At 43.6% G+C, this 22,600-nt stretch overlaps 1 long non-coding RNA gene across 1 annotated transcript in view; it reads left to right on the top strand.

Annotated features, from left to right (window-relative positions):
• LOC105371334 (uncharacterized) overlaps positions 1-22,474 on the top strand; it is a 37,613-nt gene extending 15,139 nt beyond the window's left edge. The window contains exon 3 of the long non-coding RNA XR_933717.2: positions 22,393-22,474. This is a non-coding gene — a long non-coding RNA (uncharacterized LOC105371334). The remainder of the gene's footprint in view (positions 1-22,392) is intronic.
• Positions 22,475-22,600: the final 126 nt, after the last annotated feature.

Here is a 22,600-nt window from a genome sequence, read left to right as displayed (position 1 = left end):
GGGAGGAACACAGCAAGGTCTAAATTACAGAAGGCAAGGGTCATTGGGACTGTCTTGGAGACTGGTATCCCAAATGGGAATTATAGCTTTTTTTTTTTTTTGAGACAGAGTTTTGCTTTTGTCGCCCAGGCTGGAGTGCAATGGCACGATCTTGGCTCACTGCAACCTCTGCCTCCCAGGTTCAAGCGATTCTCCTGCCTTAGCCTACCCGGTAGCTGGGATTACAGGCGCCTGCCACCATGCCCAGCTAATTTTTGTATTTTTAATAGAGATGGGTTTTCGCCATGTTGGCCAGGCTGGTCTTGAACTCCTGACCTCAGGTGATCCACCCACCTTGGCCTCCCAAAGTGCTGGGATTACAGGCGTGAGCCACTGCACCCGGCCCTTTTTTTTTTTTTTTTTTTGAGATGAAGTTGATGTTGCACTATGTTGCCCAGGTTGGTCTCAAGCAGTTCTCCCGCCTCAGCCTCCCGAGTAGCTGGGATTACAGGCACATGCCATGGCACCCAGCTTTATCACTCTTCTTCTGATATATAATATCCTTAAGAATTTTCCCTTTGGCTTAGGATTGCCTTGGCGATGCGGGCTCTTTTTTGGTTCCATATGAACTTTCAAGTAGTTTTTTCCAATTCTGTGAAGAAAGTCATTGGTGGCTTTATGGGGATGGCATTGAATCTGTAAATTACCTTGGGCACTATGGCCATTTTCACGATATTGATTCTTCCTATCCATGAGCAAGGAATGTTCTTCCATTTGTTTGTATCCTCTTTTATTTCCTTGAGCAGTGGTTTGTAGTTCTCCTTGAAGAGGTCCTTCACATCCCTTGTAAGTTGGATTCCTAGGTATTTTATTCTCTTTGAAGCAATTGTGAATGGGAGTTCACCCATGATTTGGCTCTCTGTTTGTCTGTTGTTGGTGTATAAGAATGCCTGTGATTTTTGTACATTGATTTTGTATCCTGAGACTTTGCTGAAGTTGCTTATCAGCTTAAGGAGATTTTGGGCTGAGACAATGGGGTTTTCTAGATATACAATCATGTCATCTGCAAACAGGGACAATTTGACTTCCTCTTTTCCTAATTGAATACCCTTTATTTCCTTCTCCTGCCTAATTGCCCTGGCCAGAACTTCCAACACTATGTTGAATAGGAGTGGTGAGAGAGGGCATCCCGGTCTTGTGCCAGTTTTCAAAGGGAACGCTTCCAGTTTTTGCCCATTCAGTATGATATTGGCTGTGGGTTTGTCATAGACAGCTCTTATTATTTTGAAATACGTCCCATCAATACCTAATTTATTGAGAGTTTTTAGCATGAAGCATTGTTGAATTTTGTCAAAGGCTTTTTCTGCATCTATTGAGATAATCATGTGGTTTTTGTCTTTGGCTCTGTTTATATGCTGGATTACATTTATTGATTTGCGTATATTGAACCAGCCTTGCACCCCATGGATGAAGCCCACTTGATCATGGTGGATAAGCTTTTTGATGTGCTGCTGGATTCGTTTTGCCAGTATTTTACTGAGGATTTTTGCATCAATGTTCATCAAGGATATTGGTCTAAAATTCTCTTTTTTGGTTGTGTCTCTGTCAGGCTTTGGTATCAGAATGATGCTGGCCTCATAAAATGAGTTAGGGAGGATTCCCTCTTTTTCTATTGATTGGAATAGTTTCAGAAGGAATGGTACCAGTTCCTCCTTGTACCTCTGGTAGAATTCGGCTGTGAATCCATCTGGTCCTGGACTCTTTTTGGTTGGTAAACTATTAATTATTGCCACAATTTCAGCTCCTGTTATTGGTCTATTCAGAGATTCAACTTCTTTCTGGTTTAGTCTTGGGAGAGTGTATGTGTCGAGGAATTTATCCATTTCTTCTAGATTTTCTAGTTTATTTGCGTAGAGGTGTTTGTAGTATTCTCTGATGGTAGTTTGTATTTCTGTGGGATCGGTGGTGATATCCCCTAAGCCAAAAGAACAAAGCTGGAGGCATCACACTACCTGACTTCAAACTATACTACAAGGCTACAGTAACCAAAACAGCATGGTACTGGTACCAAAACAGAGATATAGATCAATGGAACAGAACAGAGCCCTCAGAAATAATGCCACATATCTACAACTATCTGATCTTTGACAAACCTGAGAAAAACAAGCAATGGGGAAAGGATTCCCTATTTAATAAATGGTGCTGGGAAAACTGGCTAGCCATATGTAGAAAGCTGAAACTGGATCCCTTCCTTACACCTTATACAAAGATCAATTCAAGATGGATTAAAGACTTAAACGTTAGACCTAAAACCATAAAAACCCTAGAAGAAAACCTAGGCATTACCATTCAGGACATAGGCATGGGCAAGGACTTCATGTCCAAAACACCAAAAGCAATGGCAACAAAAGACAAAATTGACAAATGGGATCTAATTAAACTAAAGAGCTTCTGCACAGCAAAAGAAACTACCATCAGAGTGAACAGGCAACCTACAAAATGGGAGAAAATTTTCACAACCTACTCATCTGACAAAGGGCTAATATCCAGAATCTACAATGAACTCAAACAAATTTACAAGAAAAAAACAAACAACCCCATCAAAAAGTGGGCGAAGGACATGAACAGACACTTCTCAAAAGAAGACATTTATGCAGCCAAAAAACACATGAAAAAATGCTCATCATCACTGGCCATCAGAGAAATGCAAATCAAAACCACAATGAGATACCATCTCACACCAGTTAGAATGGCAATCATTAAAAAGTCAGGAAACAACAGGTGCTGGAGAGGATGTGGAGAAATAGGAACACTTTTACACTGTTGGTGGGACTGTAAACTAGTTCAACCATTGTGGAAGTCAGTGTGGCGATTCCTCAGGGATCTAGAACTAGAAATACCATTTGACCCAGCCATCCCATTACTGGGTATATACCCAAAGGACTATAAATCATGCTGCTATAAAGACACATGCACACGTATGTTTATTGCGGCATTATTCACAATAGCAAAGACTTGGAACCAACCCAAATGTCCAACAATGATAGACTGGATTAAGAAAATGTGGCACATATACACCATGGAATACTATGCAGCCATAAAAATGATGAGTTCATGTCCTTTGTAGGGACATGGATGAAATTGGAAATCATCATTCTCAGTAAACTATCGCAAGAACAAAAAACCAAACACCACATATTCTCACTCATAGGTGGGAATTGAACAATGAGATCACATGGACACAGGAAGGGGAATATCACACTCTGGGGACTGTGGTGGGGTGGGGGGAGGGGGGAGGGATAGCATTGGGAGATATACATAATGCTAGATGACGAGTTAGTGGGTGCAGCGCACCAGCATGGCACATGTATACATATGTAACTAACCTGCACAATGTGCACATGTACCCTAAAACTTAAAGTATAATAAAAAAAAAAAAAAGAATTTTCCCAGATTGTGACGCCTTTTTCAAAGCATCCCTTGTTTTCAGAAAAGGTCTATAAAATCATGTATATATATTAATTTTATTTATTTATTTTTTTAGACAGAGTCTCAGTCTGTCACCCAGGCTGGAGTGCAATGGTAGAATCTTGGCTCACTGCAACCTCCGCCTCCTGGGTTCAAGTTATTCTCCTGTCTCAGCCTCCTGAGTAGCTGGGATTACAGGTGCACACCACCACGTACAGCTAATTTTTGTATTTTTAGTAGAGACAGAATTTTGCCATGTTGGTCAGGCTGGTCTCAAACTCCTGTCCTCAAGCAATACACCCATCTTGGCTTCCCAAACAGCTGGGATTACAGGAGTGAGCCAGTACTCCTAGCCTTATTAATTTTAAAAGTAATGTAATAATGTAAAAAATAACCCCTCCTCTAACTATGTACTATTTTCATTTTTGCATATCCTATAAAGGCTTTGTCTGCAAAAATATTATTTACATTTTATTTATTATTATTATTATTATTATTTTGAGACAGAGTCTCGCTCTGCCACCCAGGCTGGAGTGCAGTGGCGCAATTTTGGCTCACTGCAAGCTCTGCCTCCCGGGTTCATGCCATTCTCCTGCCTCACCCTCTCCAAGTAGCTGGGACTACAGGTGCCCGCCACCACGCCTGGATACTTTCTTGTATTTTCAGTAGAGACGGGGTTTCTCCATGTTGGTGGGGCTGGTCTCGAACTCCCAACCTCAGGTGATCCTCCCGCCTCGGCCTCCCAAAGTGCTGGGATTACAGGCATGAGCCACCGCGCCTGGCCTTCTATGCACTGATCTTTACTGCATTATCTTACATATTTCTCAAAAACTCTGTGAAATAGGAAGATGATGATGATGATGATTATTATTATTTTGAGAGCAAGAGGGATCTCGCTATTTTGCCAAAGCTTATCTTGAACTCCTGGGCTCAAGCAGTCTTCCTGCCTCAGCTTCCCGAGTAGCTAGGATTGCAGGCACACGCCACCATGCCCAGCTCAAAGTAGGAAAATTATTATCTTCGTTTTGCGGGTGAGGAAGTGGAAGTTAAGTAACTCATCCAAGGTCACAGTTGACTTAAGTGGTAGATACTGGATTCAAAATCTGGGTTTCTCTAATACTGAAGTCCAGGATTTTAAACACTATAGACCAAAGATTTATTTCCACGCCATTTATTTTTTAGGATACATTCTCAAGAGTAAAATTCCTGGACCGAAGAATAGAGATCTTTTTTTTTTTTTGAGACGGAGTCTTGCTCTGTCACCCAGGCTGGAGTGCAGTGGTACCATCTCGGCTCACTGCAAGCTCCACCTCCTGCGTTCACGCCGTTCTCCTGCCTCAGCCTCCTGAGTAGCTGGGACTTCAGGCGCCCGCCACCATGCCCGGCTAATTTTTTGGATTTTTAGTAGAGATGGAGTTTCACCGTGTTAGCCAGGATGGTCTTGATCTCCTGATCTCTTGATCTGCCTGCTTCGGCTTCCCAAAGTGCTGGGATTACAGGCATGAGCCACTGCGCCCGGCTGAGATCTTTTTGTGTCACAATGTGTTTTGCCACTTTGTTTTTCCAAACAAAGAGAACTGTTGTGGCCTACATCTGAAACATAGCCATAGCAGATTGGAGTCCTGTGTAGTTATTTGTCTCTCTTCTGGGCCTCTCCACGGTTTGAGGACTGCACAGTGCCCTCTGAACATCGTTCTGTTTTCTGTCATAGCACCCATGGATGAAGTCCAGGAGGTGCTGGAGAAAACTGCAGTTCTCTAGACCTGAAGAGGTCAGTGATGACACATGGACAGTCCTTGCCAAGGAACGGCACCTGCATCAGCCCATCTGTGGGCCTGGGCGACCTTCTGCACACTGATGTTCGCTGTGTGCCCTATCCTGCTCTCATGCCCCGCCTCTCCCAATCGTACCTTGGTGTTGGTGATTCCCAACGTGGGTTTCACAATCTCCCAAGGAAGGTGGATGAAAGCAAGAAGCAGGCTAGGACCAAGGAGGGTGGAACTCTGGAACTCTGACTCTAAGAGCCAGTTTCCAGTACAGTCTGGACACAAACAAAGAGTGCTGTTCACCACGTTGAGACTTCTCCATTCAGCATCTTTTCCTTCTCTGGGAATGCATGTCACCCCCAGCAGGCTGCAGTCTTTACCTCCACATCCCCTATCCCCCAGAATTTGCTCCAAGTTAACTTTCACACAGAGGAACAAATGATCTATTTCTTTTTTTCTGTTTCTTAATTTTTTTTTTTAATTTAGAGACAGGGTCTTGCTCCGTGGCCGAGGCTGGAGTGCAGCGGTATGATCATAGCTCACTGCAGCCTCAAACTCTCGGGCTCAAGCCATCCTCCCACCTTGGCCTCCCAAGCAGCCAGGACAATCTGCAGGTGCTAATTTTTAATTTTTTTTGTTTATTTATGTTTTTTTAAAAATTTTTATTTATTTATTTATTTTTTTGAGTCAGCCTCACTCAGGCTGGAGTGCAGTGGCGTGATCTCAGCTCACTGCAACCTCTGCCTCCCGGGTTCAAGTGATTCTCCTGCCTCAGCCTCTGGAGTAGCTGGGATTATAGGCACATGCCACCATATCCAACTTATTTTTGTATTTTTTTTGTAGAGACGAGGTTTCACCATGTTGGCCAGGCTGGAGCAAAAAGTTTTTTGTTTTTTATTTTTTTGAGATGGAATCTTGCTCTGTCGCCCAGGCTGGAGTGCAGTGGCGCGATCTCGGCTCGCTGCAAGCTCCGCCTCCCAGGTTCACGCCATTCCTCTTGCCTCAGCCTCCCGAGTAGCTGGGACTCCAGGCACCCGCCACCACACCCGGCTAATTTTTTTGTATTTTTAGTAGAGACGGGGTTTCACCGTGTTAGCCAGGATGGTCTCGATCTCGTGGCCTCGTGATCCACCCGCCTCGGCCTCCCGAAGTGCTGGGATTACAGGCGTGAGTTACTGCACCCAGCCTGGAGTAAAAAGTTTTAAGCAAGGATGAAGGAGAGAAATGTGACATGATCAGAAAATACTTTGGGATGATATTACTCTGACTGCAATACGGAGAACAGGTTAGGATGAGGGAAGATTACCAAGGAGGCGATTACACATAGTTCTGCCAAGAGGTGATGGTGATGTAGCTAGGGCTAGGAGGAGATGATGAAATAAGGAGAAGGAAATGGATTCCGGAGATATTTAGGAAGTAAATTTTTTTGTTTATTTTGTTTATTTTTTAATTTTCCATAAGTTATTGGGGTTAAGGTGGTATTTGGTTACATGAGTAAGTTCTTTAGTGGTGATTAGTGAGATTTCGTTGCACCTATCACCCATGTGCACACTGTACCATATTTGAAGTTTTTTATTCCTCGTCCCCCTTCCACTCTTCCCCCCGAGTCCCCAAAGTCCATTGTATCATTCTTATGCCTTTGTGTCCTCATAGCTTGGCTCCCACATATCAGTGAGAACATACGATATTTGGTTTTCCATTACTGAGTTACATCACTTAGAATAATAGTCTCCAATCTCATCCAGGTCACAGGCAAATGCTATTAATTAATTCCTTTTTATGGCTATGTACTATTCCATCTCTATATATATACCACAGTTTCTTTATCCACTCATTGACGGGCATTTGGGTTGGTTCCATGATTTTGCAATTGTGAATTGTGCTGCTATAAACATGCGTGTGCAAGTATCTTTTTTGAATAATGACTTCTTTTCCTCTGGGTAGATACCCGATAGTGGGATTGCTGGATCAAATGGTAGTTCTACTTTTAGCTTTTTAAGGCGTCTCCACACTGTTTTCCATAGTGGCTGTATTGGTTTACATTCCCACCAGCAGTGTAGAAGTGTTCCCTGTTCACCACATCCACACCAACACCTACTGTTTTATGATTTTTTGATTATGGCCATTCTTGCGGGAATAAGGTGGTATCGCATTGTGGTTTTGATTTGCATTTCCCCGATTATTAGTGACGTTAAGCATTTTTTCATATGTTTGTTGGCCATGTGTATATCTTCTTTTGAGAATTGCCTATTCTTGTCCTTAGCCCACTTTTTGATAGGATTGTTTGATTTTTTTCTTACTGATTTGTTTGAGTTGGTCGTAGATTCTGGATATTAGTCCTTTGTCAGATGTACAGATTGTGAAGATTTTCTCTCACTCTGTGGGTTGTCTGTTTACTTTGCTGACTGTTCCTTTTGCTATGCACAAGCTCTTTAGTTCAGTTAGGTCCTAGCTATTATCTTTGTTTGTATTGCATTTGCTTTTGGGTTTTTGGTCATGAAATCCTTGCCTAAGCCAATGCATAGAAGGAGTTTTCCAGTGTTACCTTGTAGAATTTTTATAGTTTCAGGTCTTAGGTTTAAGTCCTTAATCCATCTCGAGTTGATTTTTGTATAAGGTGAGAGATGAGGATCCAGTTTTATTCTCCTACATGTGGCTAGCCAATTATCCCAGCACCATTTGTTGAAAAGGGTGCCCTTTCCTCACTTTACGTTTTTGTTTGTTTTGCAAAGATCACTTGGCCATAAGTATTTGGGTTTATTTCTGGGTTCTCTATTCTATTCCATTGGTCTATGTGCCTGTTTTTATACCAGTAGCATGCTGTTTTGGTGACTATGGCCTTATAGTATAGTTTGAAATCGGGTAGTGTGATGCCTCCAGATTTGTTCTTTTTGCTGAGTCTTGCTTTGGCTATGCGGGCTCTTTTTTGGTTCCATATGAATTTCAGAATTTTTTTTTTCTAATTCTGTGAAGAATGATGGTGGTATTCTGATGGGGATTGTGTTGAATCTGTAGATTGCTTTTGGCAGTATGGTCATTTTCACAATATTGATAGACATCCATGAGCATGGGATGTTTCCATTTGTTTGTGTTGTCTATGATTTCTTTCAGCAGTGTTTTGTAGTTTTCCTTGTAGAGGCCTTTCGACTCCTTTGTTAAGTATATTCCTAAGCTTTTTTTTTTTTTTTTTTTTTTTTTTTGCAGCTATTGTAAAAGGGGTTGAGTTCTTGATTTGATTCTCTGTTTGGTCGCTGTTGATATATAGAAGAGTTACTGATTTGTGTACATTAATCTTGTATCCTGAAACTTTGCCGAATTCTTTTATCAGTTCTAGGAGCTTTCTGGAGGAGTCCTTAGGGTTTTCAAGGTAAACAATCATATTATCAGCAAACAGTGACAGTTTGACTTCCTCTTTACCAGTTTGGATGCCCTTTATTTCTTCCTCTTATCTGATTGCTGTGGCTAGGACTTCCAGTACTTTGTTGAAGAGGAGTGGTGAGAGTGGGCATCCTTGTCTTGTTCCAGTTCTCAGAGGGAATGCTTTCAACTTTCCCCATTCAGTATTATGTTGGTTGTGGGTTTGTCATAGATGGCTTTTATTATATTAAGATATGTCCCTTGTATGCTGATTTTGCTGAGCGTTTTAATCATAAAGATATGCTGGATTTTGTAGAATCCTTTTTCTGCATCTATTGAGATAATCATGTGATTTTTGTTTCTTAATTCTGTTTATGTGGTGTATCACATTTATTGACTTGCATATATTAAACCATCCCTGCTTCCCTGGTATGAAACCCACTTGATCATGGTGGATTATCTTTTTGATATGTTGTTGGGATTCAGTTAGCTAGTATTTTGTTAAGGATTTTAGCATCTATATTCATCAAGGATATTGGTCTGCAGTTTTCTTTTTTGGTTATCTCCTTTCCTGGTTTTGGTATTAGGGTGATGCTGGCGTCATAGAATGAATTAGGGAGTGTTCCTTCCTTCTCTATCTTGTGGAATAGTGTCAAAAGGATTGGTACCAATTCTTCTTTGAATATCTGGTAGAATTCTGCTGTGAATCCATCTGGTCCTGGATTTTTTTGTTTGTAATTTTAAAATCACCATTTCAATCTTACTTATTATTATTGATCTGTTCAGGGTATCTAATTCTTCCTGATTTAAGCTAGGAGGGTTGTATTTTTCCCGGAATTTATCCATCTCTTCTAGGTTTTCTAGTTTATGTGTGTAAAGGTGTTCATAGCAGCTGTGAATGATCTTTTGTATTTCAGTGGTGTCAGTTATAATATCTCCTGTTTTGTTTCTTAGTAAGGTTATTTGGATTTTCTCTCTTCTTTTCTTGGTTAATCTTGCTAATGGTCTATCAATTTTATTTACCTTCAAAGAACCAGCTTTTTATTTCATTTATTTTTTGTATTTTTTTTTGTTTGTTTGTTTCAATTTCATTTGGTTCTGCTCTGATCTTCGTTATTTCCTTTCTTCTGCTGGGTTTGGGTTTGGTTTGTTCTTGGTTCTCTAGTTCCTTGAGGTGTGACCTTAGATTGTCTGTGCTCTTTCAGACTTCATTTTTATTTATTTTATTTTTTTTGAGACAGGGTCCCACTCTGTTGCCCAGGCTGGAGTGCAGTGGTGCGATGTCAGCTCAATGCAATCTTCGCCTCTTGGGTTCAAGCAATTCTCGTGCCTCAGCCTCCCAAGTAGCTGGGATTACAGGCGCACGTCGCCACGCCCAGCTAATTTTTGTATTTTTAGTAGAGACGGGGTTTCACCTTGTTGGCCAGGTTGGTCTTGAACTACTGACCTTAGATGATCCACCCGCCTCGGCCTCCCAATGTGCTGGGGTTACAGGGCATGAGCCACCATGCCCAGCCTCTTTCAGACTTTTTGATGTAGGCATTTAGGGATATGAACTTTCCTCTTAGCACTGCCTTTCCTGTATCCCAGAGGTTTTGATAGGTTGTGTCATTATTGTCAGTTTGAAGAATTTTTAAATTTCCATCTTGATTTTGTTTTTGACCAGTGCTCATTCAGGAGCAGGTTATTTAATTTCCATGTATTTGCATGGTTTTAAAGGTTCCTTTTGGAGTTGATTTCCAGTTTTATTCCACTATGGTCTAAAAGAGTGCTTGATATAATTTCAATTTTCTTAAATTTATTGAGGCTTGTTTTATGGCCTATCATATGGTCTATCTTGGAGAAAGTTCCACGTGCTGTGGAGTAGAAAGTGTATTCTGCAGTTGTTGGATGAAATGTTCTGTATATATCTGTTAAGTTCGTTTGTTCCAAGGTATACTTGAAATCTCTTGTTTCTTTGTTGACTTTCTGTCTTGATGACCTGTCTAGTGTTGACAGTGGAGTTTTTTTTTTTTTTTTTTTTTTTTTGAGATGGAGTTTCACTCTTGTTGCCCAGGCTGGAATGCAATGGCGCAATCTTGGCTCACTGCAACCTCTGCCTCCCAGGTTCAAGTGATTCTCCTGCCTCAGCCTCCTGAGTAGCTGGGATTACAGGCATGCACCACCATGCCTGGCTAATTTTTTGTATTTTTAGTAGGGACGGGGTTTCTCCATGTTGGTCAGGCTGGTCTCGAACTCCCGACCTCAGGTGATCCACCCACCTCGGCCTCCCAAAATGCTGGGATTACAGGCATGAGCCACTGCACCCAGCCTCTAGTAATTGTTTTATAAATTTGGGAGCTCCAGTGTTAGGTGCATATATGTTTAGGATTGTGATATTTTTCTGTTGGACAAGGCCTTTTACCATTATATATGGTTCCTCTTTGTCTCTTTTAACTGCTGTTGCTTTAAAGTTTGTTTTGTAAGAATAGCTACCTCTGCTCGCTTTTGGTGTCTATTTACATGAAATGTCTTTTTCCACTCCTTTACTTTAAGTTTATATGAGTCCTTATGTCTTAGGTGAATCTCTTGAAGGCAGGAGATGGTTGGTGAGTTCTTATCCATTCTATGGTTCTGTATCTTTTGAGTGGGAGCATTTAGGCCATTTATATTCAATTCCATTCAATGTTAGTATTGAAATGTGAGGTATTGTGCTCTTTGTTGCCTGTGTACTTTGGTTTTGTTTTTTGTTTTTGCTTTTTTTTTTCTTTTTGAGACAGAGTCTCACTCTGTCACCCACGCTGGAGTGCACTGTTGGGATCTCAGCTCACTGCAACCTCCACCTCCCGGGTTCAAGTGATTCTCCTGCTTCAGCCTCCTGAGTAGCTGGGATTACAGGTACATGCCATTATGCCTGGCTAATTTTTGTATTTTTAGTAGAGACGGGGTTTCACCATGTTTGCCAGGCTGGTCTCGAACTCCTGACCTCAGGTGACACACCCGCCTTGGCCTCCCAAGGTGTTGGGATTACAGGCGTGAGCCACCTTGCCCGGCCCTTATTTATCTATTTTTTTTGTTTTGTTTTGTTTTAAGGAAAGGAAACAGGAGTTCCTGGGAGACCCCAGAATAGCCAGCATTCACATTTCTTATAGTTATTGATTGTTGCTCTGACATCAGGCAATATTACATCACCATCTCTGCACATTCTGTGGGCCTTTGTACAAGGAACTTTGCAGGATCAATTATTGGTCACTGTTTGTTGGTTCTTTTGTCGCCCTCTTGCATCCCTGGGTGGCCCCTAGTTCTTCCCCATCTCATTTACTGGGATTTAGCTTTGCTTTGGCCACTTGATTCTCATTTGTGGAGGGAGTGGGGGTGAGGGGGATGAATAGATTCATCCCTGTGGCACACGCAATAAGGTGCAACACTAAACTCATCGAGCTCAACATTTCCCAATATTTGCTCTGGCAGAGGTAGGGAGCTAAAGCTGATCTTTTGTTCCAGGGGACCAAAAACTATTTTGTAAAGAGAAGGGAGCAAATACACCCAGCTTTAGGTCTAGAGGGCAGGAGGTTTGGAGGGCAGTACGTCCAGTGTTCCTTTGTTTGTCCACTTGGCAAACTGTAATTCCTCCTTCAAGTTTCAACTCAAGGTAGATATGGTCCCCTCTCTTCCTCCAGGCTCATCCTGAACCTCCTACAGACCTCCATGGTGATAATCATTTTTTACTGTCCTCTCACCTCTGTGTTGGGAATGCCTGTGTCTTATCTACCTATCCCCAGCAACTAGCACAATGCTTTTCACATCAAGGGCACCCAGCAAATGTCAATAAAACAAAAAGCAACCAGGGCAGGTTGACTTGGTCTTACTTTTGCCTATTGATATTCACCAGCCAGGAAACAAAAAAGCCTAATCAACTGGGGGCTGAAGGGAGGTCACTTTGGTCACAAAAGTTAATAATTTTTGTTGCTTTATTGATTTCTTAAATGCCACTTAAGTACTGTACCAATAGAGAGAGAGAGAGGAAGGGAGGGAGGAAGACACACACACACAACACACACACACACACACACACACACACACACACAGAGAGAGAGAGAGAGAGAGAAAGACAGAGAGACAGAAAAGAAAAAAGATCACCTCCAAAAAACAAGACCAAACAAAACAAACAAAGCAAAAACCTGGCTGAGAAAGGTGCCACTGAATCTCGGTCTCATATTTGACCCTTCAAAGTAATTTTGCAGAAATAGGTGGAATGACCTCAGTTGGAGGGTGTCTTACTGGTCCTTTCAGGTAACTATCCTTTGGGAACAAAATATATTCAGTATCAGGAGGACAGCAGCTTGGTGTGGTTTTGCCGTTAGGAGTCTCCCAATTGAGGAATGTTTGCATTCCAATTTAGGGGACACAAAAATCCCTGTCCTCATCACCATTGCAATGTAAACTCAACTGGATTGCTCGCCCCTGGAGCCCATTCTCCATGTTTCATTGCCAGAAAGATCTTAAACTTCACATTCCTCCTTTAAACCTTCAGAGGGCTTCCCCTTGTACTTGAAGTAAAATCTAAGCTATCCAGAAGGCTCCCCCACCACCATCCTACCACATTCCCCCCAATTCTCCAAGCTTGGCCACACCAGCCTTTTGGGTCCTTGAACAAGCAGAAGTACCCATTTCACAGGGAAGCTGAGGACTGTTACAGCAGAGGAATAATCTCCACTCAGTCTTTGATTTCCAAAAAGGATTATTGAAATCCATTTTAGAGGTAATAGTTATAAAAGTCAGAGCTTTTGATTCTCTTCACTTTGGAAAAGGAAAGGAAAAAGGCTTTTGGCAAATCCAATGAAGCAAAGTTCATAGTTTACATGCAATGGATTGAAAAGACAGCTCAGATGAAAAAGCAGAACAACCCTTCCCTAAGCAGAGGATTACAACTGGGACCTGGGAGGGGGCAAAGTGGCTAGGAGCTCTGTCACTCTCATAGTCCTCCTGCCACCATCCTGCAGATGACTTCCCACTTTAGAGACCAAACTTGGAGACTCATTGAACTGCCCTGTGTAGACAACAAGCTGTCCAACAGCCAGTGACATTCACTAAGATCAGGATACAGAAGGTGGGCCCAGAACATGGGATGGAGAGGAGGGAGGAGAAAGGGAAGCTGTCTAAGCTTGGATGGAAGAAGCCCAGGCCCAGCACTCAGTGCGGTGGGGGGTTGGGGATAGATGAAATCCAATTGGCCCCGGATAATTTCCTCCTAAGTTGTGACAGTCTATGTTTGCCCACTTCACCCTTGTTAAACCTGATTAAGAGAGAAATCCTATCTAGCAGTCAATTGGTCCATAACTAATTTCTAGAACAAGACTGAAACCAGTGAGGTGGCTCAAGCCTGTAATCCCAGCACTTTGGGAGGCTGAAGCGAGAGGACTGCTTGAGGTCAGGAGTTTGAGACTAGCCTGGGAAACATAGTGAGATCCCATCTCAACCATAAATAAATAAATAAATAAGCCAGGCATAATGGGACATGCTGTAGTCCCAGCTACTCAGGAGGTTGAGGTGGGAGGATTGCTTCCTAGCAGTTCGAGGCTACAGTGAGCTATGATTGTGCAACTGTACTCCAGCCTGGGCAAATGAGTGAGGCCCTGTCTCTAGCGGGGGGGGGGGGGGGGGGGAAAGAGTGGGATATTAAATAATTAACTAATTAACTAATAGCTTTCAAATTCCTCCTATAGAACCCAACAGGGACTGAAATCATTGTTCCTTGAAACCATCTGTCCATAGGACTCTCAGAGAAGGGCCAAGAAAATGACTGGATTTGAAGGTCCTTCGGTGAGATGGGTGTGTGTGAAATCCCTGTGCTGGGAGGAGTGCAGAGCCCTGGTTCTGTGCAGATGCGAGCAGAAGGACAGCCCTCATCTGCATCTCTTGTTTGATCCCACAAGTCTGAGCCCAACTCCCACAGAGTAGGGTGACCCTGCTGACCCACTCTGTTAGCAGCACATGCCTACTGTGGATTTTATTAATATTTTAATTTCTGAGTGGGGCAGACACACTCTCCCATCCCTTCATATCCAGAGGCATTCATAGGTGACTAGTTGACATCTATACAACCGGGTACACGAGAACAAATTTATCTGTGTTGAACCAGTAGCCCTTGTTCATCCTCTTGGAAGCAAGACAAAGCACTTTCACTCTGACATCCCTGCACGTTCTGCTTTGCTCACCCCAGCCCCCTTGGCTGGTTGTGCCTTGAGCACACCAAGCGCAGTCCCACCCCAAGGCATTTGCCCCTGCCATTCCCTCTGCCTGGGGCATTGTTCACCCAGTCATCCACAGGAATCATTCCCATCTCCCATTAACCATCACTACCTTAGGGGACAATTCTAGTGATTATACACAAAATACTGCCCTTTCTAACCCTACATCTTGCTTTATTTTTCTTTATGGCATTGGTGGCTTCTAACATCTGTTTCTCTATTTATTACTTCTCTCTCCCAACAAGAATGTCAGCTTCATGAAAGTAGGGCTTGGTTTGGTTCTTTCATTGCAGTATCCCCTGCATTCAGAACAGAGCCTGGCTCATAAACACTTACTGAATGAGTGTATTAATGAAACATGATTGCAGGACTCTTGCTATGGAAGAGCTTTAAGTGACAAGTAGGCACAATGTCCCACCTCTCCTGTCCCACCTCTCCAGGTTTGACTTGGTTCAAACCTGAATCCTCTTATTTGACTTGGTTCACTCTTATCCCATCTCATTCTTTTTCACTCTGTCCCTACCAGTCCTCCCACGAAACATATGTACTCATCTTCTCCAATCCTGGAGACCGCATTGTGTCTCATCTTTGTTTTGCCCATGGTGCTGCGGGAACTTGATGTTCCCAGACTTGGGTAATTCAACTGTCATTTGGCCCCATCGATGGTACTGTCCCTTCTGCAGATTCTGGAAGTGAATCTGGATAAAGTTTGCTGAGTTGCATCACCTCTGGCACTTGTTTCCAGGCAGAATAGGGAAGGAGTGGTCTTGAGGCCTCCCTGGGGGATGGCCATGACAAACCCTTTTACCTTTGGAGCATTCTATGATTCTTGGCTGACAGAATTCTTCAGAACTACAGACCATGGGGATCTACTCAGGCCTCTCTACAGCATAGACGCTAAGCTCAGTTCCTGTCTCGTATGGAAAGCAGACCTTGTATTACCCACCAAAGCACAGAATAGGGGATGCTTCAATATACTGTGCTACCCCAAGATAATCTTCCTCATGAAAAGCCCTGTCTTGTGCTCAGAGCTCTCACTGCAGTGGAAATGTAGGCCTGAGTAAAAGGTCAAAGGATGGAACTCCCAAGGCCAGGGATCCCAAATAGGTCAGCAAGAGAGAGAAAGGTTTTGTATATCATGTCATTATTTATTTTTATTTTTTATTTTTATTTTTATTTTATTATTATTATTTTTTAATTGATCATTCCTGGGTGTTTCTTGCAGAGGGGGATTTGGCAGGGTTATAGGACAATAGTGGAGGGAAGGTCAGCAGATAAACAAGTGAACAAAGGTCTCTGGTTTTCCTAGGCAGAGGACCCTGCGGCCTTCCGCAGTGTTTGTGTCCCTGGGTACTTGAGATTAGGGAGTGGTGATGACTCTTAAGGAGCATGCTGCCTTCAAGCATCTGTTTAACAAAGCACATCTTGCACCGCCCTTAATCCATTTAACCCTGAGTGGACACAGCACATGTTTCAGAGAGCACAGGGTTGGGGGTAAGGTCATAGATCAACAGGATCCCAAGGCAGAAGAATTTTTCTTAGTACAGAACAAAATGAAAAGTCTCCCATGTCTACTTCTTTCTACACAGACACAGCAACCATCCGATTTCTCAATCTTTTCCCCACCTTTCCCCCTTTTCTATTCCACAAAACTGCCATTGTCATCATGGCCCGTTCTCAATGAGCTGTTGGGTACACCTCCCAGACGGGGTGGTGGCCGGGCAGAGGGGCTCCTCACTTCCAGTAGGGGCGGCCGGGCAGAGGCGTCCCTCACCTCCCGGACGGGGCGGCTGGCCTGGTGGGGGCTGACCCCCACCTCCCTCCCGGACGGGGTGGCTGCCGGGCGGAGACGCTCCTCACTTTCCCAGACGGGGCGGCTGCCGGGCAGAGGGTCTCCTCACTTCTCAGACGGGGCGGCCGGGCAGAGACGCTCCTCACCTCCCAGATGGGGTCGTGGCCGGGCAGAGGCACTCCTCACATCCCAGACGGGGTGGCGGGGCAGAGGCGCTCCCCACATCTCAGACGATGGGTGGCCGGGAAGAGGCGCTCCTCACTTCCTAGATGGGATGGCGGGCGGGCAGAGACGCTCCTCACTTTCCAGACTGGGCAGCCAGGCAGAGGGGCTCCTCACATCCCAGATGATGGGCGGCCAGGCAGAGACGCTCCTCACTTGCCAGACGGGATGGTGGCCGGGCAGAGGCTGCAATCTCGGCACTTTGGGAGGCCAAGGCAGGCGGCTGGGAGGTGGAGGTTGTAGCGAGCCGAGAGCACGCCACTGCACTCCAGCCTGGGCACCATTGAGCACTGAGTGAACAAGACTCCGTCTGCAATCCCGGCACCTCGGGAGGCTGAGGCTGGCAGATCACTCGCGGTTAGGAGCTGGAGACCAGCCAGGCCAACACAGCGAAACCCCGTCTCCACCAAAAAAATACGAAAACCAGTCAGGCGTGGCGGCACGCGCCTGCCATCGCAGGCACTCGGCAGGCTGAGGCAGGAGAATCAGGCAGGGAGGTTGCAGTGAGCTGAGATGGCAGCAGTACAGTCCAGCTTCGGCTGGGCATCAGAGGGAGACCGTGGAAAGAGAGGGAGAGGGAGACCGTGGGGAGAGGCAGAGGCGGAGGCGGAGGCGGAGGCGGAGGCAGAGGCAGAGGCATGTCATTATTTAAACCATATTTTTGGTTGATTGCTCAGAAATCAGGCTTGATGGGAAAATAATCTCTTTCTTTCCCTTTGTACACATATTATAGCTGCATCTATATATGTTCCTCTTATTTACAGAACTAGTTAGATGTTTACAAGAGGAAATGGGCTCCATTTTGGGTACCAACATTCATGAAAGTTTTCCGGGAAGGACAAGGAATAATATGCAAGGGCTGACCAATTATGGGATCTTGGAGGAAGCTACAAAAAATTGATTTGTTTAGCCTGGAAAAGAAAAAAACAAACGACGCTTTCTTGAGAGTATAAGTAATTCAATATGTAGCAGGATGCTATCTCTCCTCTTGAAAGTGGCTTGTGAAAAGTCCTGAGATTTAAACACTGAGGTTCTGTGTTTAAAATAGGGTGAATAGAGACCCATGTATGCAGGATGACCTAAAGCTGATGGCTTTTCAGGATTATCCCAACCTTTATTACTCATAGGATCCTGTGATCCAGGTGAAAAGTTAGGGTTTTGGTTTCCAGGCATTTTTGGTTGTGGTTTGGGGTTGTGGTCATGGAGTCCCAGAAGGAAACAAATGTTGTGCACAAACTTGGCAATTTGAAAAGAATTTAATAAAGGAAACATATGCAAAGATGTTCTGGCATAAAATAATTTACTTTTGATGTCTTGTACTTCAGAATATTGACTGGGAATATTTGAGTGAATCTCACCTGGGATTTCTCATGCAGTTGCAGCCATCTTGGTCTGGTGTCATCTGAAGGCTCAGATGGGCTGGACATCCAAGGTAGCTTCCTCACTTACCTGTCTAGTACCTAAGTGCTTCTCTCTGCGTCCTCTCTCACCAGCAGAGTAAACTGGATTTCTTACATGGATGCTCAGGGTGCCAAGAGCAGGAAGCAGAAGTCGGCACAGTAACAAGCCTATCTCTGGAACTGTCACAGCGCCACTTCCCCCAACTTCCATTGATCAAAGAAGCCACAGGGCATGGCCAGAGGCAAGAGGGTAGAGAAATAAACTCTACGTCTCACTGGGGACCTGGCAAGGTTACATTGCTGAAGAGCATGTGGGATAGGGGTATTGCTGCAGTTATTTTTGGAGACTAAAGTCTACCATAAAAGGTGTGAAGAGGGATTACAGCAAACAACAGGGGAGCTGGCCCCAATGAAGCCTCAAGGGACAAGGGGAGGAAGTGATTCAAAGGACCCAGAAAGAATGGCTGTATGAAAACAGCCTCCTGATACTAGCAGTGGCCTCTGGAAGATGCAACCCAACAAGAAGGGAGCCGAGGATGAATTGCTCAACTTTGCACATCTCCCTTTCAAATCTCCTGCCAGTGACCCCCAATGGTCAAGAGACCCCTTTGACTGGGTTCCTGCAGGGCAGCTCCATGGAGCAATGAGAAGGATGGAGAAGGGCAAAGAGTAGATCTAAGGAGGCAAACAGAAGACATCCAACATATCAGTGGATAACAAAAACATCGAGGATATGTTATCCATGGGCAAGAATAAGGTTTAGGACCAAAATTACTCCTTTTGGGACTGGAAGGAAAACTGCCTACTTTTGAGCAGCTCGTAGGATTTCTAAATGCCCTGGTGTGTTGAGAGACAGTTCAAGCCTTGTTTTTTGGGGAAAAGTAGCTGCTACAGCTACTGATCACTTTACCCATAAGCACAGTCCAGCCAGCTCCCTCTGCGTCTCTCTAGCCTCATTGTCCATGACTCCCCTGTTACTCACCCTGCACCACCACTTTCTCTCAGGCCTCTAGCCCATCAAGGCTTCAGCATGCTATTTTCACAGTTTGGAATCTCTGTCCCCCCTTCTGCCCAAAACCTCATCTTTCCAACTCAAATTAAATGCCACTTCTCCAGTGAAGACTCCTTTAACCCGTATCCTCACTCCAAGCTATTCTCCATGCACTTTTCCTTTATGGAACTTACTCTAATAGCAATTGAAATATTAATTTCTATAATAATTTGCTTCACGTCTATCTGTGACACTAAACTCTAAGCTCCATGACAGTGGAGTCTGTATCTATCTTCTTGACCCCTACATCTGTAGGACATAGAACGTTTAACCTGTAGTAGATACTCAGTAAATATGTGTGAATCCATTACTGTATGCATCTGATAGAAAAACCAGCAATGGTTTCTGTAAAGGTCATCTTTTTTATTGAGATGGAGTCTTGCTCTGTCGCCCAGGCTGGAGTGCAGTGGCGTGATTTCAGCTCACTGCAAGCTCCAACTCCCAGGTTCAGGCCATTCTCTTGCCTTAGCCTCCCGAGTAGCTGGGACAACAGGCACCCACCACCATGCCCAGCTAATTTTTTTGTATTTTTAGTAGAGATGGGGTTTCACCATGTTAGCTAGGATGGTCTCTATCTCCTGACCTCGTGATCCACCCGCCTCGGCCTCCCAAAGTGCTGGGATTACAGGTGTGAGCCACCGCGCCTGGCTGTAGGTGATCTTTTGGTGTTCCTGTGTTTGTTTTTAGCTATAGCCACTGTTTGGCTATATTTTGTTTGTGGGCTAGACATGGGATTAACAAGGAAAACAAGGTGTGACACCAGGAACTGAGTCAATTAGTAAACACTGAGCAGCTACCAAAACATAGTCAACTAGGACATGAACCAAATTTCCATTAGCTGGTGAATAGATATGCAAAATGTGGCATAGTCCATGTGAATAATGGAATATTATTCATCCACAAAAAGGAATGAAGTGCTGGTACATGCTATAACATGGCTGAACCTTGACGACATTATGCTAAGTGAAAGAAGTCAGATACAAAAGACCACATATTATGTGATTCCACTTTTATGAAGTGTCTGGTATAGACAGATCCATAGAGGTGAAAGGTAGATTAGTGATTGCCAAGGGCTGGAACAGAGAGAAATGGGAGTAACTGCTAATGGGATAGGGCATAAGGTTTCCTTCTGGGATGATAACAAGGTTCTGAAATTGGATAGTGGTGATGGTTGTATCATTTGTGAATATAATAAAAGCCACTGAATTGTACTCTTGAAAAGGATGCATTTTATGGTATGTGAATTATATTTCAATTAAGAAAAACACAATCAACAATGTGTTACTATAAAAATAATAGGACATTGTGGTCCAGAGGTCGGCTGATAGATTGGACCATGGTTTGGACTCTAGATTATTCTGAATGTCAGAATGGCAAGAATGCAGAATGATTTCCCAGGAACCTAGGTGTATTTGCTTGGTGGCTTCCTCTGTGAGTACAAATGACAGCCTTTCTTGATGAATGCTAAGAACTAGAGTGGGGTTCAGGTTTTAACCATTCACAAGTGAAGGAACACTAAGTTCCAACGAAATGAAAATGACTGAGTTAATGGCCATGGTTTAAACGGTTATGCAAAGCTCAAAACAAACAGGATGATGTTATTTGCTAAGCTTCATGAGGAAGTGGCCCGCAAGCATTTCAATCAGCAAACAGATGAAGATTCTATTTCTTTTTTAACCTTTAGAGCTCTGATGTGGAATGAGTGGCTGTAACTCTGAAAGCTCAACTGGTCTTTCCAGAACCCATGAGAAAAATATCAGACAAACCCAAATTCAAGAATATTCTACACCAAAGCTGCCAAGGTCATGAAAAACAAAGTCTAAGAAACTGTCACAGACCAGAGGGGACTAAGGAGACATGACCACCAAATATAATGTGATATCCCAGATGGGATCTTGGAACAGAGAAAGGTTGTTAGTAGGAGAAACTAGTGAGATCTGAATAAAGTGTGGAGTTTAGTTAATATTAACGGGCCAATGTTTGTTTCTTAGTTGTGACTAAGAATTTACCATGGTAAATATAATATGTTTGAAAAGGGAGAAACTGGGTGAGAGGTATGTGGGAACTCTACTATCTGCAGCTTTTCTGAAAATCTCTTTTTTTTTTCATTTGAGATAGAGTTTCACTCCATTGCCCAGGCTGAAGTGCAGTGGCATGATCTCAACTCACTGCAACCTCTGCCTCCCAGGTTCAAGTGGTTCTCCTGCCTCAACCTCCAGTGTAGCTGGGATTACATGCATGTGCTACCATGCTCAGCTAATTTTTGCATTCTTAGTAGAGACAGGGTTGTTGCTCAGGCTGGTCTCGAACTCCTGACCTCAGGTGATCCGCCCATCTTGGCTTCCCAAAGTGCTGGGATTACAGGTGTGAGCCACCACCCTGGCTGTGAAAATCTTTAAATAAATAAATAGTTTCATTAAAAAAAAGAAAGCTCAACCAGGCTTACCTCTCCATTCTGACAGCCTTCTCCCTGTCTAGCTTATGGGGTGAGAGAGAGAGAGAGAGAGAGAGAGAGAGAGAGAGAGAGAGAGAGATAGAGAGAGAAAGAGAGAGAGAGAGAAAGAGAGAATGACATAAGATAATTGAGATAATGAGTGGGAGATCAAACCACAAAGCCCTCTATAAATGTAAGGCATTATACATTATCAAAGTCCAACCTGGTCTCTTAATCCCTCCTAAATTCTTCACCCCACCATCTACAAATACAATAAATATGAAGAGACTTTGGTTTCCCTTCAATTACCACTTCTTCCACCATTTTTCCCCCTCTGTATCATGTACTGTAATTTATTGCCAACTGGCTAATGAGTATTGAACACGGCTTCTATAAAGTGCTGGGCCAGATACAAAGGAGGATGTTGAAAGTATTAGGAATGTCCCCGCTGTGCACTTCCTCACGTAACATACAGTCGGCTAGGAGAAGTAGAACATGTACATTCTCTGTACCCAACAAGGATGAGTGATAACTAATGATGATTCAGGGTGCAAAGATACAAAATAATTAATAAAGATGAGCAATAAAAGTTCAGAGAGTAGTCCATACTTAATCCACATAGTTAATTCACTATTTTCTTAAGGCTTTCCCAGTTGGCTCTGTCTTCATGTTTTCTCTTTTTATATTCCTTAGAGAAGAAAAGACTGTGCTTCTCAACTTACTTTGTCCGCTGAAGAGAGGCAGACTTGTGTAGTGAGCTCTGGAGCCAGATTATGAAGCTTGAACTCCAACTCGCCACCAATTACCAGTGTGACTTAGCTTTCGTTTGTAAAGTGGGAATGAAACAGCCTCTACTTCTAGGACTGATGTGAAGATTACATGACTCGATTCAGGTTCAAGA

Source organism: Homo sapiens, chromosome 16 (genome assembly GCF_000001405.40).
Source record: "Homo sapiens chromosome 16, GRCh38.p14 Primary Assembly".
In the NCBI taxonomy this organism is placed as follows: domain Eukaryota; kingdom Metazoa; phylum Chordata; class Mammalia; order Primates; family Hominidae; genus Homo; species Homo sapiens.
This window is presented reverse-complemented; position numbering and strand designations above follow the sequence as displayed.